This window comes from Homo sapiens, chromosome 10 (assembly GCF_000001405.40).
Source record: "Homo sapiens chromosome 10, GRCh38.p14 Primary Assembly".
In the NCBI taxonomy this organism is placed as follows: Eukaryota; Metazoa; Chordata; class Mammalia; order Primates; family Hominidae; genus Homo; species Homo sapiens.
Window position 1 is genome coordinate 15,510,391 of NC_000010.11, and position 16,503 is coordinate 15,526,893.

General features: G+C 41.3%; 1 protein-coding gene across 2 annotated transcripts in view; it reads right to left on the reverse strand.

Annotated features, from left to right (window-relative positions):
- ITGA8 (integrin subunit alpha 8) overlaps window positions 3,564-16,503 on the reverse strand; it is a 205,969-nt gene continuing 193,029 nt past the window's right edge. For both annotated transcript variants that reach the window (NM_001291494.2, NM_003638.3), the window contains 2 exons: window positions 8,900-9,022; window positions 3,564-6,854 (listed from right to left, as the gene is read on the reverse strand). In NM_001291494.2, coding sequence (NP_001278423.1) covers window positions 6,768-6,854; window positions 8,900-9,022 — 210 coding nt within the window. In that variant the 3' untranslated portion in view covers window positions 3,564-6,767. The remainder of the gene's footprint in view (window positions 6,855-8,899; window positions 9,023-16,503) is intronic.

Consider the following 16,503-nt stretch of genomic DNA (forward strand, 5'->3'; position numbering starts at 1 on the left):
GGCTCACACCTGTAATCCCAGCACTTTGGGAGGTCGAGGTGTGTGGATCACCTGAGGTCAGGAGTTCGAGACCAGCCTAGCTAACATGGTGAAACCCCGTCTCTTCTAAAAATAAAATAATTAGCCGGGTATGTTTGTGCATGCCTGTAATCCCAGCTACTAAGGGGGCTGAGGAAGGAGAATTGCTTGAATCCACGAGGCGGAGGTTGCAGTGAGCCGAGATCATGCAAGCCACTACATTCCAGCCTGGGTGACGGAGCAAGACTCCGTCTCAAAAAAAAAAAAAAAAGTTAAATCCAAGACTTTTTATTGTCAGGAGGTCCTGGTGTCAGGCTACATTTCTTTATGGATTTTGGCCCGTAATCACAAATAATGGATAACTTGCTCGTAAGTAATTCCAAAGGTAGATGATATTTGGGGGGTCGGGAGAATTTAAAATGGCAAGCAGAGTTATACCTAATACACGCTGGCCATCCTGAATGTGCCATTGACTTATGTGTCACCGGGGCATTTATCGTCTTACTTGGCTCCCAAAATGAGCCTAAAGTTTCAATGCTTTAAATTTCTCATGCTAAAGAAATCAACATTTTAATGTAATCAGAGTTCTGGAGTAGAAAGTCTGCTATATTTGGGAAAAAGAACATTAGACCCTAGGGAGGTACTGTTTTAGCATTTATGGACATCAACCAAAGGTTTTCATGCTCTAGATCTTTCTGTGGGCACCAGAATGAATGCTCTTTCCTCTACAGGTAACCTGTGAGGATGATGCAACTTTTTCAGAGGAAGTGTGCAATCCACAAGAGAATTCTACCTTGTTAGAATTCTGCAAGGTCCATTTCACCCAGTCTAGGAACCCAAATCTCAACTCAACATTTAGGAAGTATTGCCACAGTTAAGCGTCTACATATAAAATGACGGGAAGTGGCAAAGAAATCAACAGAATTCGTTGAGAAGACTGAGCTCCCACCTCATTTGTCCAGCTGCAGAGCATTTGACTATGATGAAAGACCTCATAGGAGTTCCTCTTCTTTTTTGCGATGAATATGTACAGGCTTTAATCAGTGGGACTGGCCAAGATGGAGCCTTTTTGTGTATGTCTCAGGCAGATCTTGCCCCACACAGGCTGATTTATACTGGATTGAGTGCTTTGCTCTTCCGCATCAGGCCAGGCGTGGTGGCTCACGCCTGTAATCCCAGCACTTTGGGAAGCTAAGGTGGGTGGATCACTTGAGGCCAGGGGTTTGAGACCAGCCTGGCCAACATGGCGAAACCCTGTCTCTGCTAAAAATACAAAAAATTAGCTGGGCATGGTAGCATGTGCCTGTAGTCCCAGCTACTCTGGAGCTGAGACATGAGAATTGCTTGAACCTGGGAGGTGGAGGTTGCAGTGAACTGAGAGTGGAGTGATCCTAGCTCACTGCAACCTCAAACTCACGGGCTCAAGCAATCCTCCTACCTGAGCCTCCTGAGTAGCTGGGACTACAGGTATGCACCACCACACTAGGCTAATTTTAAATGTTTTTTTTCTGGTAGAGATGGGGGCTCACCATTTTGCCCAGGCTGCTCTCAAACTCATGGCCTCGAGCATTCCTCCCACCTCAGTCTCCCAAAGTGTTGGGAGTACAGGATTACAGCCACTGTGCCTGGCCAGGTGTAGGTTTTGAAGTGCGAGTGGTATATAATACAAAGTGAAGGATTCATCCTACTGCTTGCTGTGGGGCACAGGGTAAACACCCAGATAAGTTGTTCTCACTGGGATTCATGAATGCCAGAGAAGTGGCAAGTATTTAAATATCTTATGGGTTATGAGCAATAAATTGGTTTATATTGAGTGGCTGATAAATACTAGAACTCAAAATTAAATGTGTACATTAAATTTACTAAATTCTAATAAAATATAAATTAATATAAGGTAACATTTGAAAACAATTACCAAACTATTTAAACCATGCTGAAATAATTAGAAGGAAATGGTACACTTAGGTTAATGCAAACTAACTTAGTCCTTTTAAGAGCAACATGTTATCGAGAGCTACAAAACTCTTCATATACTTTGACCAAGCAATCTCATTCTTGAGAAATTCATTCATTGGAATAAACAAAAAAGAAACCCTAAGTATGTAAGAACGAAAGTATTCAATTTAATGCCATTCTTCTTCTTTTTTTTTTTGAGGCCGTCTCACACTGTCACCCAGGCTGGGGTGCAGTGGGGCTCACTGCAACCTCAAACTCTTGGGCTCAAGCTATCCTCCCACCTCAGCCTCCTGAGTAGCTGGAATTATAGGCATGCACCACCACGCCCTGCTAATGTTTTGTATTTTTTGTAGAGACTGGGTTTCGGCATGTTCCCCAGGCTGGTCTCAAACTCCTGGACTCAAGCAATCTGCCCGCCTCGGCCTCCCACAGCAGTGGGATTAAGGCCAGAGCCACTGTGCTGGACTTGTAATGCTGTTCTTAATATAAGAAGCTGTGAACAGCTATTCCCAATAAGAGGGGGATGGTTAAATGAACCATGGTTCACTAACTGAACAGAACATTTACTATTACAATCGCATTGTATGAACATTGTAAATAGGAGGATGCACACACATTTGTCTGTAGCTGGTGCTTAGTAATGAAAGGGAATGACAAAAGCACATGTTCATATGACTATGACTATGCGTGTATATATACTCATGCATTCATTCTAGCAATTGTTTTGATCACTGATTATATAACAGGTGTTGGCCAGGTATACGAAACATACTGAGGAAATGATGTGGTTTCTGCTCTCATTGAGGGGTCACTCAGCCGGAAGGTGGCCGTGGGAAGAAATGGAAAAGTACGGAAATTCACAAAACGCGAATGGAGTACAGTTAGGCAAAGATGAAGGGAAGGCTTTGTAAAGGAGCTAACATGTATCTACAGTGGAGAAATCACTTGTATAAGAGTGGAGGTACTAGAAGGTACTTAAAAATTCTTAATGTCTTTATTGAGATGTAATTCTCATACCTTAAACATGTTCATTTAAAATATACACTTTAATAATTTTTACTATACTCACGGAGTTGTGTTGTTTTGTTTTGTTTTGTTTTTTTGAGACGGAGTCTCACTCTGTTGCCCAGGCTGGAGTGCAGTGGTATGATCTCGGCTCATTGCAACCTCCACCTCCTGGGTTCTAGCAATTCTCCTGCCTCAGCCTCCTGAGTAGCTGGGATTACAGATGTGCACTACCATGCTCGGCTAATTTTTGTATTTTTAGTAGAGAGGGGTTTCACCATGGTCAGGCTGGTCTCGAACTCCTGACCTCATGATTCGCTGCCTCGGCCTCCCAAAGTGCTGGGAATACAGGTGTGAGCCACCGTGCCCGGCCACTCACGGAGTTTAATACAAACATCACTGAAATCTAAGTAGAACATTTTCATCCTCCCAGGGAGCTTTGCATTTTTGCTCTATTAAATTTCTCCCGATGTTAAATGTTTTTCTAATAAGGAATTAAGATGTAGAGACAGAAACCTCTGATGTCTGGCCACAATAGGGAAAGTTATGTCTCATGTGAAATAAACCGAAAGTATGCCATCAAGTCTTTCAGTTTTAATTTTATTAGTGACAAGGTAAATAGGTACATGAAAATCTTCACAGATATCTACGCACGTATTTAAATAAAACAAGAGTCGAGTTCTAAGAATGCAGTTTCAGGGGTGACTAGTACATATTATTTTTTTATTTACTGTATAAAAATCTCCAAGTTTATAAAACTTAATTTGCCCCATTATTGTGTCTTAAAACCCAGCTGCAAGAATTTAAAAAGGGAATTCTTTGAAGAGAAATACAGATAGACCCTCAGAGGAGCACAGCACATTATGAATTATGAAGGCAATCGGCAATGCTCTAACTAGAAGCAGATAACGCTCAGTGTGTTCTCTGTCGTCAGTATGTTCTCTGGGCAGAACGGATTGCTGGAAGGTTTGCCTGACCTCAGTTTCCTCCCTTTCTCCATTTGCTTCCATATTCTTTTTTTATTTTTTATTTTATTTATTTTTTTGTTGAGACAGAGTTTCCCTCTGTCGCCCAGGCTGGAGTGCAGTCGCGCGATCTCAGCTCACTGCAACCTCCGCCTCCTGGGTTCAAGCGATTCTCTCTCTGCCTCAGCCTCCTAGGTAGCTGGGATTACAGGAGACTGCCACCACGCCCAGCTAATTTTTGTATTTTTAGTAGAGATGGGGTTTTGCCACGTTGGCCAGGCTGGTCTTGAACTCCTGAACTCAGGTGATCTGCCCGTCTCGGCCTCCCAAAGTGTTGGGATTACAAGTGTGAGTCACTGCACCCAGACTTTGCTTCCATATTCTAAAGGGCAGAGGGCCACTGCGTGCATGCGCGTGTGTACAACGGCCTTCTGCAATTCCCATAGGTAGCAGTGCCTGTGGGCAGGTGGAAGGTGCCCGTCCCTCTAGGAAAGGGCCATCTTGGCTGAGACTCTGGGATGGTGCAGTTCACTTTGGAGCCCTCATGCCTTGCTTCATTCTGGGTCTCAGTCTTCCTCCTGGCATCTCTAGTTCCTTCCAGGTATCTGCATAAACTATCTCAACAGGGGTCTTTTTTTATGTAACCCTAAGAGTTCTCAGTTCCTTCACCAATGTTGGCTTAAAGACAAGGGGTGCATTTTTTCAGGGACCTTTTAGGACCCCAAATCCCAAGGAGCTAATCTCTATTGGTCACAGATCAGCCAGGATCACCAGATTCAGGGCATTACCTGGGGTCAGAGAGAGCTGTCTGGCATCGCTCACATCACATCCTGTAGATGGCCACCTACTTGTAAAACCAGCTCTACCTGGAAGACTAACACCAAAGACCCCCAGAGGCTGGTGTGGACACCCCTTAATTCTTTGAGGCAACTTCAGTGCTCATCCGTAGTCAGCCACACAAACCAGCCTTGAGCTCCTGACCGACCCGAAACTGCTACCAGGACAGTATTCAATTCACAGGCAGGAAGAACATGAACTGCACCAGCGTGCTCGTCCATGTGCCTTTCATTTGCTCCTCAATGAAGTTCCGCAGCTGTAGCCAAATGGCTCCTCTCCAGCTTATGGCATGACATAAAATTTAGTGTCTGTGAGCTTGGCTCATCTTTCAAACAAAGCGTGATTGTTGAAATCAGGACACAAAGTTTTCCAACAGCTTTGTAAACTTAAGGATTTGGGTCAGCTTGTTCTATCATACTTAACATTTAGGAAATTAATTAAAAAAAAAAACGCCAGTGTAAACATGCTTCAGATACATAGGTCTATAAAATATTGCACATAAAAATTTGTTCAGTATTTCTTCATAGTAATTTTTCATTATTAAAAAAGGATACAAAATTGTGCAGACTACCTATAAATTTGGCTGGTCAATTTTACTTCAAAAATGATAATATTACAAGATTATGAATTATTTACAAGAGTTTTAAACATAAAAAATTTGTGATGGTTAAATTCAAGATGATGGGAAAATAGCTTAAATAAAAGATTATTCTCCAAAGTTACATATTATAAAGATTAGCAGTAAAAATAAGTAATAAAGTTGGAATAAGCAATTTTAAATAAAAATCTTTAGGAATCAGTTTTCCCAGTTTGGCTCATGCCTGTATAATTTTATGTTTTTGTCTAAGTTATATTCAACATGTTTTCTCTGTGTATACAAGTACAAGGCATAGCAGGAAAAACGGGTATTTAATCCCAAGCTAAATATCTATAAGAAGTGTTGCTTCTTATAGATATTAAAAATAATGTTTACCCATAATGTTAAATTGCTTTTTAATTAATGAACTCTAGACATTTTACCATGACTTTTAAACACTCCAAAGGTAGAGAGTACCTCGAAATTCATGTATTAACTAAGTCAATGGAAAGATATACAAGGAAATATAAATGCAACATCTTGCAAAGCTAAATTAAGCAGATGTGAGTCCCTGGATAATGTGAGTGAAAGGAATTTCAGATGGAAGGCAGCAAGGTATTAAATAGAACTGATTCCTAATGCCAATCTTCCTTTCCTTAGCACTGTCTAAATTCTGAAGAAGCTCTGCTAAATGAGTTATCTGCACACAGTGGTTCTTAGGAGGAAACTGAGTGAGTGATTTTGAAAACTAGCTAACCAAATCTTAATTTCCAAATTCTCTAGATGACAGATTCTCAACCTAGAGACATGGAAAATAAATAAATAAACTCTCACCCTCACTCACAAGATTATTTTTGTCCTTTCAAAAGTACTTTCACAGTACCAACAACATATTGCTTGTCTCCCTGAGCCATAATGTCCTTAGAAATGTTTCTTTTCCATAGGGAGGTGTCAAATGTTCCATTGGATACAGTAGTGTTGGATGGTGTGGTCTTAGTTCTAAGTTCTATAGTAAATCAGTCATTTCACCTTAGTTCACCTTGTAAATTCTATAGTGATTCAGACATTTCATCTCTGCAACTTATGCTGGATTGATCTGGACTGCAACTTACGTTCCCATACGCATTTCAAAGTGTCTGCCAAGTACAGAACGATTAAAGCAAAAGAAAATCTTCCACAATTGCTGATGGCTTCTCCAGCTTTGGTGTTTCCTTTTCCAACAGGGCTCACTGGGCACCCAGGACAATTTCTCCAAAGTGCGGTGTAGATGAGGTGATGTTTCCAGGGTCCCCTCCATTTCCTGGGTCACTGTCAGGTATCAGAAAGCTTTGATTTTTAACCCTCATGTTCTTTCTTTTTCTTTGAACAGGACCAGTGTTTGAGGTCTTTGGTCTTCTTTTTTTTTCTTGTCATGCCTCAGGGGTCTTGTCATTTGTCAGCTGTTCCCTGTCGGTCATGTCCTCCTGAGGAGGTCTGGCTCTGTCAAAGAATCCACACTATAAAGGGAAAGATGGGCTATAAAATCACGTCATTCTGGGAACCTGTGAAACCCCTCATTCAAAGAATTTTCACTTTATGTATTTTTTTTTTTTTAAACTGAGTCTCGCTCTCTATTCCCCAGGCTGGAGTACAGTGGCGTGATCTTGGCTCACTGCAACCTCCGCCTCCCGGTTCAAGCGATTCTCCTGCCTCAGCCTCCGGAGTAGCTGGGATTACAGGCCTGCACCACCACACCCAGCTAATTTTTGTATTTGTAGGAGAGATGGGGTTTTGCCATGTTGGCCAGGCTGGTGTTGAACTCCTGACCACAAGTGATCCACCTGTCTCAGCTTCCCAAAGTGCTGGGATTACAGGCGTGAGCCACCACACCTGGCCCTTTATGTATTTTCGAAGGAGCCTGGAGCTCTGCACGTATAATCAGTCTGTTTCTCCAAATTAGGAGGTTCGAGCAGAGTGTTTGTTACTTGTAGAGAGGAGTTTATTGCATAGGCAAGGTGAGCAGGAGGGCAGAGTGCTCACACCCTTTCTCCTGTCCTGTAGTTGGAGTGGAAGATGTCCCTCTTTCATACAAACCACTTATGGACCTTGGATATTTTCCTGAGATCACAGCAATGTGTCCCAAGGATTTCCCACATGCTTACTGGAGCAGAAGCACTAACTATTGACTAGGAAAAGGAGATTGTCTCCTAAAGTATCCTGTCAGCTGCTTTGGGGTGGATTATAGAAAGAAGTGAAGAGATGGCCACACATCCCTCGGTGCTTGGTGGAACATAGAGCATATATAGAGGGAGAATAGATTTGTCACTTATTTCAATGCCAGAACCAGGTAGGCACAGAATCTTAGTGACTTTCCAAAGGTTAGCCAGAAACTCAGGGAAGAGGTGACTCTAGGATTTTCCTCCTCTTCAGTGTCAAATTAGTACTTTGCCAAGTAAACTACATATTTTCCTAGACACCTGGAACCTCAATTCTTTCTTCTGTTTCTCATGTTGGAAGCCAATTAACTGGGTTTGGCTTAGAGACATTGAGTCATCTCTCTTTCTCAGAGCTACTGGAATATCCTGTCAATTGGCACACATGGTTGTATCTTATACTCATTGGAAATACAGTTACTATGAGTGACAGAACAACACAAAAGTCCATTCTAAAGGCATGTCATAGACCACATGGGTGTAGGATGTCACAAAGAGCTGATAACGATCAGAAACGCCATTCCTTAACTCAAAGCCAAGGTTTTCTCAGTTTATAGGTCTATTAGTCATGCTGCATATTGTTTCAAAATAAAAGCGCACTATGATTTTAGGGAAAACCACATAGTTATCAAAGATGTGACTGGGTTAATTACTCTTATGTAACTGGGACGTCATTTCCATTTGGGAATGGAAGGCTCTGTGAAACTTGGCAATTGTTTAGGTTGGTGGGCCAGAAATTAATTCCTGTTGTGGACTTTTAGAACAAACCTCAGTAAAACACATCAAAGACTAAGTTCAGGCTTCCCAGTGGAGACAAACTAATTGGCAAGATTAAAAACCAAGTCCAGGCATCCTATCACATGCATAATCTATTTGGCCTCATTAGTAGTTGAAATTAAAAATCAGAATTGACCTATATTAATTGCATTTGCATAGTGCTTATAAAAAATGTCAAAGGATTGATGATAGGGCCATGTCAATAAAAAGCTTATGATCTTGGTTAATTAAACAAGAAAAAGAAGTCTTCATTAGAATATTATCACTCTAAGCATATTGGAAAGAAGATCACAGGCCTTAGTTAATACAGCCTAACTCTCTCTACATTTATTTACAAGAAATCTCAAGATGAAAGCAACATTAAGCACCTCTAGTCATCTTAAATGTCAGCTATATAAACATATTAAGTATGCCAAAGCAAACAAGACACGATTTTCCCTTTATATCCTTCAGACTGTTCAAAATTTCCAAAAATGCCTCCATAATTGTCTTTTAAAATCCCTAACTGTATCCCTCTAAATTCCCTCAACAGCCCCTCTAGTTTAAAAGGAAAACAAAGTAAATCAACTTACCTTCCATAAAGCTAAGGTTAAAATGGCGAGAACCAACAATCCAAGAAGTATTGCTAGTATTATTACCCATAATGGGATTGAGAAGGAAACATTCGGAGTTGCCCAAATAACTGATGTCTTAATCTGAAATGGAAAACAAAGCAAATGAGCTCTAATGCGAAAACTATTTGGTGAAATAAAATAGTAATTACCAGTACAACATCGGAAGTTGATCTGAAAGGATCCATATGACAATTGAAATCATCTAGGGGATATTTGAGAGGTAGCACTCGAACATGAACTCTTAAAAGCTAGCATGTTCCTAGATCTGCTTGGTTCTGTAAAAGTCTAATTAGAGATTTGGTGGGTGGGTGGCTTTGCATCACAGAAACCCTAGAATAGAATTGAGTGCATCAGGAATTGACAAGGTGGAAAGGAATGGCCTTCACTTGGGCTGGAACTTTTATGGGAACAATGGCCAAAAGTAGACTCAATAAAAAACTGAATGAATCTGTCTACCATGTGTCTCCTTAGAACTCAGCTAGCCTCATTGAGAGAGGTAAGCTTGTGAACAACCATGAATCCTTGGATGTGCAAGAAGGGTAGAAATCTCTAATCTAATCCCCTCATTTTACAGGTGAGAAAATTAACTCCCAGAGGGACTAAGTGATTCATTCACACAACGAATTAGTGTCAATACTAGGTCTCTTTATCCCTAGATTCTGTGCTGTATCAGTGAAGGATATCCCAGAGCATGAGGCTAGGCATCTTGTATTTTATGGAAGTAACTGTAGTGTGCAAAGTGAATGTTCAATTTTTTTTGATGCGTTGGAGATGACTTTAATCCTAAATCCAAAGATCAGGCCAGAGCGGTGGCTCATGCCTGTAATCCTAGCACTTTGGGAGGCCAAGGTGGGTGGATTGCCTGAGCTCAGGAGGTCGAGACCAGACTTGGCAACATGGTGAAACCCCATCTCCACTAAAGATACAAAAAATTAGCTGGGTGTGGTGGCGCACACCTGTAATCCCAGCTACTCAGGAGGCTGACACACGAAAATTGCTTGAACCTGGGAGGTGGAGGTTGTAGTGAGCCAAGATCATGCCACTGCACTCCAGCCTAGGCAACAGGGTGACACTCTTCTTTCTCCTTCCCGCCAAAAAACAAAAACACAAAAACAAAGATCATATGGGGACTGGAGCCCATTTCATCCCGCACTGTTGCAAGGGGGCTTAGAGGAAAATGAGACCTTCCCAATCTGACTGCATGCTCAGTGTCTATGAACCACTCCCTATGTGGGCAGAAGCACTTCTATTGCTCCTGTGTTGGAGGCCTGTGCCTCCGGAGGCCGAGGCAGCAAAGAAGCTGCAGATTCCCAAGGAGAGACCCAGCCATGCTGCTAAAACCTTTTGTCAAAGAAAAGAGCGCTACATTATTCTTGGATGCAGACATTATTCACTAACGTAGTATTCCGGTTTTATCAGAGTGGCAAGCATTGCCTCCACTCAGCTGGTCTAAGGTCTCCTAGTTTTAATTGTGTTGGTTGAAAGGATCATTTCAATCCTGAAACACACTCAAGAACTCCAGGACACATTCTATAACCCACCCGTCAGGAGAGGCTGAGACTAATGACTAAGGTTGGCGGCTCTGAGATTTGCCCTAGCAGGAAATGTATTGGTGTTTTCACAGCCTGAACCCTAGCACTGAGCCCTAACCATGCTCACTTTGTTGCCTCTGTCTTCTTTTGTGTATTTGTTTCTTTGTTTTTGTGAGACAGTGTCTCACTCTGTTGCCCAGGCTAGAGTGCAATGGCACGATCTTGGCTCACTGCAACTTCCACCTCCCAGGTTCAAGCAATTCTTGTGCCTTAGCCTCCCCAGTAGCTGGGGTTATAGGCATGTGCCACCACACCCAGCTATTTTTTTTTTTGTATTTTTAGTATAGACCTGGTTTCACCATTCTGGCCAGGCTGGTCTAGAACTCCTGACCTCAAGTGATCCACCCGCCTCGGCCTCCCAAAATGCTGGGATTACAGGTGTGAGCCACTGTGCCCAGATGCTTCTGTCTTCTTAACTAGAGTTGAGCGCCCTGATGGTGCCCTTCTCAGCTTGTCTTGGTTTTTTATTGCTCCTTCCTTCTTGATCCGCATCCCCCATGCAGCAGATGCTGATGACTCAATTCATTCGATTCTCCAGCCCCAAATGTCATTTATATGTACACTAATAAAGGCATGGACAGAGGAGTGAGATAGGGAGAGAGTCATTCCACCTTAACAGGAACATGCCAAGGATGTGATAGATGTTCTTCATGAGAAAAAGGCTGGCCTCAACCTAGTCATCATTACATTTTCTTCCTATGCCTGTTAACTTTCCTCGCTAGGAATTATTTCATCTTATCTTTATTTCATCTGACACATCAGTGTGAAGCATGACAGTCCATCACCACGGTGACATTACGTACACTCTGCGCACCACTGTTTAAGGATGAGAAACGTAGTTCATACGTCGAAGAAATCAATTTCAAGGACCCACCGTGGTTGCAATTCTACCTGGATGCTGCAGCCTAAGTAATTTATTCTGAAATGATCTAAGACAAATATTACACATTCTCATTCATAAGTGGGAGCTAAACAAGTGGATCTCATGGAGGTAGAGGGTAGAATGATGGTTACCAGAAGCTGGCAAAGAGTGGGGAGGGCTGGATGAACAGAAGTTGGCTGACAAACATAGTCAGGTAGAAGGGATACATTCTAGTGTTCAGTAACACAGTAGGGTGATTCTAATTAACAATAATTTATTATCTATTTCAAAATAGCCAGAAGAGATTTGAAATGTTCCCAACACAAAGCAACGATAAATGTTTGAGACAATAGATATCCTAAATGCCCTGATTTGATCACTATACGTTATGTGCACGTGTGTATCAAAATATCACATGTACTCCACAAATTTGTACAATTATATATCAATAGAAAATAATTATTTGCATGTATACAGCTACATGAGCAAATCAAGAACTAGATTATTTCTCTTGTTATGTACCCTTCCTTAGTCAATTACACCTGATGACATGTATGAAATTACTGCTGAATCCTAACATTTGACTGCACTCAGAGGAACAGCATGAAGTGGTATTTCAAGATGAACATAATATTGCTGGAAGTGGACTCACACAGTTTTGATAATGAGAATTTCAGAATTTTGGAACTGAAGGGGACAGTAGTGATCATCTACTCACAGGCCAGTTACAATGACCCCAGGAGAGAAATCTGGAGCCATGGAAAATTCCGAGGTTTCATGTAAATATTACTTCCTCATAACCCCCAAGTCCATTGAGGACACAATATAGTTTTAGTCCCTACTTTGAGCATGTGTCAGAGCTCACCAAAATTTTCTAATAGGTAATTCAGGGTGAGCCAGGCAATGGATCTTTCCTCTCCTGGTTTACCTAATTAATATCTTAAGGCTGGGCACAGTGGCTCATGCCTGTAATCCCAGCACTTTGGGAGGCCAAGGCAGGTGGATCACCTGAGGTGAGGAGTTTGAGACCAGCCTGGCCAACATGGTGAAACTCTGTCTCTACTAAAAATATAAAAATTAGCTAGGCATGGTGGCAGACACCTGTAGTCTCAGCCACTTGGGAGGCTGAGGCAGGAGAATCACCTGAACCCGGGAGGGAGAGGTTGCATTGCAGTGAGCCAAGATGGTGCCACTGCACTCCGTCTGGTTGACAGAGCCAGGCTCAGTCTCAAAAAAAAAAAAAATTATTATCTTAAGTTCCTGCCTACTATTTTATGTTAAACAGAAAAGAGTTCAAGTTTTATAAGTTAGAGAAAACACAAAACATGCTAAAGGAGTTGAAATAGAGGCTCTTCAAATTGTTAGCTTAATAAAAAGAAATGGAATGGGCTGAGTGGATACCTACTGAGTACTTTGCTAGGTGACTTTGCCCCTTGGTTATTGCAGGTTTTGATGTATCATCTATATAACTGGGCTATCCAGAGAAATAAGCAGAGAAGATCACTTACAAAGAGCTAACAAAGACATTTAAAGTTTTTTTTGTAGCAGTGATGAAAAAGTATAATGAAAATGTGAAATTGATGAGGATATGATTCTTAGGGTCTTTTGAAGCAGAGAACAACTTTATAGGGATAGTTACAGAACGTACTGGCTTTCTGTTTACATTTGCTCCCAAAGAGCCTGACAGCAGCGTCTTTAAAAAGTCTGTGGGAAGATGACCCCCTGCAGTGATCACAAATTCGGAAAGTCCCTTTCAGTTCCCAAATTCTGAAATTCTCATCATCAAAACTGTTGCCAGTCTGCTTCCAGTAACATTAAGTTTGTTTAAAAAATACCACTTTGGGCCAGGTGTGGTGGCTTACGCCTGTAATCCCAGCACTTTGGGAGGCTGAGACAGATGGATCACTTGAGGTCAGGAGTTCGAGACCAGCCTGGCCAACATGGTGAAACCCCATCTCTACTAAAAATACCAAAAAAAAAAAAAAAAAAAATTAGACAGTTGTGGTGGTGGTGGTGCATACCTGTAGTCTCGGCTGCTCAGGAGGCTGAGGCAGGAGAATCACCTGAACCTGGGAGGCAGAGGTTGCAGTGAGCCAAGATCGCACCACTGCACTCCAGCCTGAGCAACAGAGCGAGCCTCTGTCTCAAACAAAACAAAACAAAAAAACAAAAAACACTTCATACCTTTTCTCTGATGTCAGGATTATGCATATGATATGCATTTCCTCCATGTCATCCTGTGCAATTCATTAGCGGGAAAGAATACACAGAGTCTTAAAAGAAGGCAACCTCTGAGTGACTCTCCTCCCATGCCTGCTTTCTGCTTTCCTGGTCCTTTTACCTGTAGGACATCCATATGGTACTGAGGCGGCCCAATCTTCTCAATCTAAAATTGGTGCAGCTGCAGAGACCTTCCTTCACCCTTGTTGTTTTCCTAAACTTATGTAGGCTTTTGCAGCATAGTCTAGAAGTCACTACAGTAAGAACAGTGGAAATACAGAAAACCAACAACAGCGACCCAGAGCATTTCATCTGGTGTCCCGTGCAGAGGAGATGCTTGACTCTTACTGGAAAGAGTTAGACAAGGAGCCAAAGGTAATTATTCAAATAACTGAATAATTTTTTTCTGCTGCACTGTAATGATTCAGTGTTCAGACATATTTCTCTGAATCAGGCGACCTTGTCCTTGCCTCTGCACACAACATCATTAGAAGAGTCACGTATATGTCTCGGCAAGAGAGGTCTTTCTGGGATAGAGTGATGGGGAGTCATGTGACATATTCATGTCTCTAAATCAGTAAATGGCAATGGGGCATTCCATGTGCAGGTGGAAACCAGTAAAGCAAAGCTTTTCCTGAAACTCCACGCTCTGTATAGATAAACTAGAGACTTGACTGCATAGGCAAGCTTAAGAGAAGACGACTTAACTGATCACTTTTACAGGACCAAAGTTTCTTTAAATATGTGTTAGTGCTGTGGGACTGCAGGCTAGTTTTGGGGAAAGCTTGGGCAGGAAAGAAAATATTGACAAACACCAAAACTTTGTTATTTCTAATATCTATATTTGTCTTACAGCTCATTTTGACAAACCTACAGGAAGCTTAGATAGAAGTAGCCATTAGATAATAAATAATGAGGAAAAATAAGTCATAAATGTTAGAGTTTCTCATGACTAAACACTGACATATATGAAGAATCTTTCATTCATTTCAAATAATATTTATTTATTTATGTATTTTTGGAGACAGGGTCTTGCTCTGTTGCCTCAGCTGGAGTGCAGTAGCATGATCATAGCTCACTGCAGCCTCCAACTTCTGGGCTCAAGCAATCCTCCTGCTTCAGCCTCTTGAGTAGCTGGGACTACAGGGGTGTACCACCATGCCTGGTGGTTTGATTTGATTTGAAATATCATTTCAAATAATATTTATTAAACACCCTATGTTCTCTGAAGTTCTGTAGGTATTATCAGCTTCAAGACATAACCTTGCCCTTGATCAGCACTGCCCAATAGAAATACAATGCAAGCCACAAGCATAACATAAAATGTTCTAATAGTCACGTTAAAAGGAATAAAGGGCCAGGCACGGTGGCTCACATCTGTAATCCCAGCACTTTGGGAGACCTAGGTGAGCGGATCACCTGAGGTCAGGAATTCAAGACCAGCCTGGCCAACATGATGAAACCCCATCTCTACTAAGAATACAAAATTAGCCAGGCGTGGTGGCACACACCTGTAATCCCAGCTACTAGGGAGGCCGAGGTAGGAGAATCACTTGAACCCGGGAGGCGGAGGTTGCAGTGAGCTGACATCATAGAGCCACTGCACTCCAGCCTGGGTGACAGGAGCGAAACTCCATCTCAAAAAAAAAAAAAAAAAAAAAAAGGAGTGAAAAGAAGCAGGGGATGTTAATTTTAATAACATAGTTTATCTAACCCTAAATATCAACTATTATTTATTAATGATAAAAGTATTATCCTTTCAACATGTAATTGGTTCTTTATTATGAATCATGTATTATTTATTAATGATTAAACTATTATCATTTTAATATGTAATTGATATAAAAATACTAATAATTTACATTTTTTTACTAAGTCTCCAAAATCCAATATGTATTTCACATTTGCAGCACATAACAATTGCTAAATTTTTAATGGTTAAAGTGAAATGTAGTCCTGTGAAAGTAACACAACCGTGTTTAATGGAAAAATACTATCTACTGCTTCAGTTTTTAAGTTTACATTGAAATGTGTGAAAATGAAATAAAACCACAAGTTCTTCAGTTCCACTAGCCAAATAGCTACCATGTTGGACTGCATAGTTCTAGAACATTCTGTATAATTTCACACAATGATGAGATTGCCTGAATTACCCAAATCTTTCATTATAAGATTCTTTTTTTTTTTTGAGACGGAGTTGTGCTGTTATCGCCCAGGCTGGAGTGTTATCTCGTGATCTGGGCTCATCGCAACCTCCGCCTCCCAGGTTCAAGAGATTCTCTTGCCTCAGCCTCCCGAGTAGCTGGGATTACAGGCATGCGCCACCATGCCTGGCTAATTTTCTATTTTTAGTAGAGATGAACTTTTACCATGTTGGTCAGGCTGGTCTCAAACTCCCGACCTCAGGTGATCCACCCACCTCGGCCTCCCAAAGTGCTGGGATTACAGATGTGAGCCACCGCACCCGGCCCATTATAAGATTCTTTTACCAAGAAGGTAGACTCAGGGCAGAAGACAAAGCATATTTAGGACTAGAGGTTTACTTTCGGCACAGGGGCTTGTGATGAGATAGTTCAGTTGCTTTAAGAAAGAAGTTTCATGTTGAGTAACTGGAGTACTTAAATTTAGGGAGAACAATTCAATCTTGTGCCAGCTAGTCAATAAACTATTTTAATACAGTTTTATTTATCAAGTACTTCTAGCTATTTTAAAAATAGCTTTAAGTAAGTTTAACAAATCACTTTATTATAATTGTCTGCAATTTTAGAAAGTAGTATTCATAAATTGTAAGTGGTTTAGATTTTCTTAAAATGATTCTAAGTAGGGAACATTTAATCTTACCTTCATCATGTCATAAATCTTGTTGTTTTTTATTATGGAGGAAAGAC